The following is a 2,362-nucleotide window of genomic DNA, read 5'->3' on the forward strand; positions in this document are numbered from 1 at the left end:
GGCATCTGGTTGGTAGATGTCAGGAATGCAGCCAAACATCTTACAGTGCCTAGGACAGCTCCACAACAAAGAATTATCTGGTTCAAAATGTCAAGAGTGTTGAGGTTGAGAAACCATTTTATTCCATCAAGGTGTCTTCCAGATATCTTAACTATAAAGGAACTTACCTGTAGTTAAAGAAAGAAAGGCAGCTGCGTGCAGTGGCTCACACCTGTATTCCCAGCACTTTGGGAGGCTGAGGCAGGTGGATCGCTTAAGGTAAGGAGCTCAAGACCAGCCCGGCGAACATGGTGAAACCCCATCTCTACTAATAATACAAAAATTAGCTGGGCATGGTGGTGGGTGCCTGTAATCCCAGCTACTCAGGAGGCTGAGGCAGGTGGATTGCTTGAACCTGGGAGGCCGAGGTTGCAGTGAGCTGAGATCGTGCAACTGCTCTCCAGCCTGAGTGACAAAGAGCAAGACTCCGTCCCCCCGACCCCCCACCCACCAACAAAAAAGGCAGTAGTATGTTTAGTAATTGTGTCCAGTTGCAAGTAACTGAAAATATGACTAAATGAGATTTTATTTTTCTCAAGTAAGTTCCCATCTTTGGTTCAGGTGCTTTGAAATGTCAAAGCTGAGGCTGATTGTGATTCTATTTGCTTTCCTTCTTACTGCAAGATGGTCCACTAGAATGTACACACAACAAGGGCAAGGATATTTGCTTACTGCTATATCGCCATAGCTTGGAAGAATGGCAGGTACTCATTAACTGACCATTTGCTGAGTGGAGCGCCAGGCAGCAGAAAAAGAAGAATATGCAAAAGAAGAGATAAGTTTCATGTTAGGAAAATAAAACAGTCCTAGAAAATCCACAGGCAACTTTCACTTGGGCTTCGCTGGCCAGATCTCAGGGACACCTGTAAGGGAGGCTGGAACATATAATTTTCAGCTTGGAATATTGCTGCCAGATACTCAAAAATATTGCTTTTCTGTAAGTAAGGAAGAAGTGGGGATGGATATCTAGTAGCAATAAAGACAATTTTTGATAGGTCTTGGACATGGGCTTGCAGACTTATCTCTAGGCAAGACCTTGAGCATGGAGAATGTGAGAGATTGCAAGATCAGGACCATAGAAATGAAAACTAGAGCAACTGCTTCTCAGAAGACTCATCAGAATCAGCAGAGAAACAGCCTGGTGGTAAACTTGTGACTGCTTCATGTCTGTGACTCAGACAGATGCCTTATTTGCATTCAATCTAATGAATCTGATGTTGACCACACAGTTTGAAAAAAACAAAAATAGACATAAAAGTTCAACAAATGACTTGAGCTGAGATTTATTACAGGTCAGTCTGAAACTAAGAAGATAGTACATTGTTTAAATCAGACAGCCTCACCTTCTTGGGAACTTTATGGCTTTTGCATTTACAAATCTTGCTCTTGTCTTTAGTTGGCGAGAGTGTCTACACAGGGTTCCTGGGCTTTATGTACACTCAGGATTAACTCTGATCCTAACCATGACCCTAGCCCTAGCCCTAACATTAGCCTTATCTCTAACCCTAACTCTAGCCCTAGCCCTAGTCTTAGCCCTAACCCTAACCCTAACTTTAGCCCAAGAAGGTAGGCTTGGTGCCTGCCTGTTTATGAATGATGAAACCTGCAAGGCTTAGGCTAATTGCCTCTGAGTTATTTTTGGCCCCAACCCACAGGACTGAATTTCTCTGTGTTGGATCATATTTTCCCTGCTTTGCCCAGCAGTAAACTCAGATTAACAATCACAGTGATTTAGAATTATTATTTTTTATTTTGTCAGCACCAATTAGGAGTGGCTGCCACAGTGGAGTTTTTCTGGTCAAACATGAGGGATTGAGCATATAATTTTACATGTGATTTCTTCCATGACTCCACTAAAATATTGGCAAAAGGAAAAAAGGTACAAATCTATAAGGACAAAGGGAGCATAAAAGGACAGCAGAGCACCTGGGAGATGAAGAAAGCTAACTCTTAAATCCCTACAGAAGGGAAGGGATGAGCTAGCAAGACATTAGTTAAGTCTCACTGCAGAACTCCCCAAAGACTCAGGAGCTGGAGACATAAGCTATTCTAGAGGCAGGGGTAGGCTGGGGCTAAAAACAGGAAGATGCTTGAAAGTCTGAATAAAGAGTGATTGTATCCCAGATTCCTTACCCCACTACAGCGAAAGATTTTTGGAGGCAAGTGTCTCTCGGGAAATGTTGAACCACAAGAGCTTTTGGATTTGTACATACCAGGCACAGTTGAGGACAGTTGTCAGGTGCCAGATTGAACATGGGGACTAATGGAAACCTAAAAGAGGGTTTTCTAGCTTGCTCACTTACCTTTGGCTCCCAGAATGCTG

The 2,362-nt window shown here is 43.1% G+C and overlaps 1 annotated feature.

The window, feature by feature from the left end:
• Window positions 585-879: a silencer, noted in NCBI's record as "tiled region #10633; HepG2 Repressive DNase matched - State 5:Enh". NCBI's record gives its function as "represses a minimal TATA promoter and a strong SV40 promoter by Sharpr-MPRA in HepG2 cells {active_cell/tissue: HepG2}" and the evidence as "EXISTENCE:reporter gene assay evidence [ECO:0000049][PMID:27701403]".

This window comes from Homo sapiens, chromosome 11 (assembly GCF_000001405.40).
Source record: "Homo sapiens chromosome 11, GRCh38.p14 Primary Assembly".
NCBI lineage: Eukaryota > Metazoa > Chordata > Mammalia > Primates > Hominidae > Homo > Homo sapiens.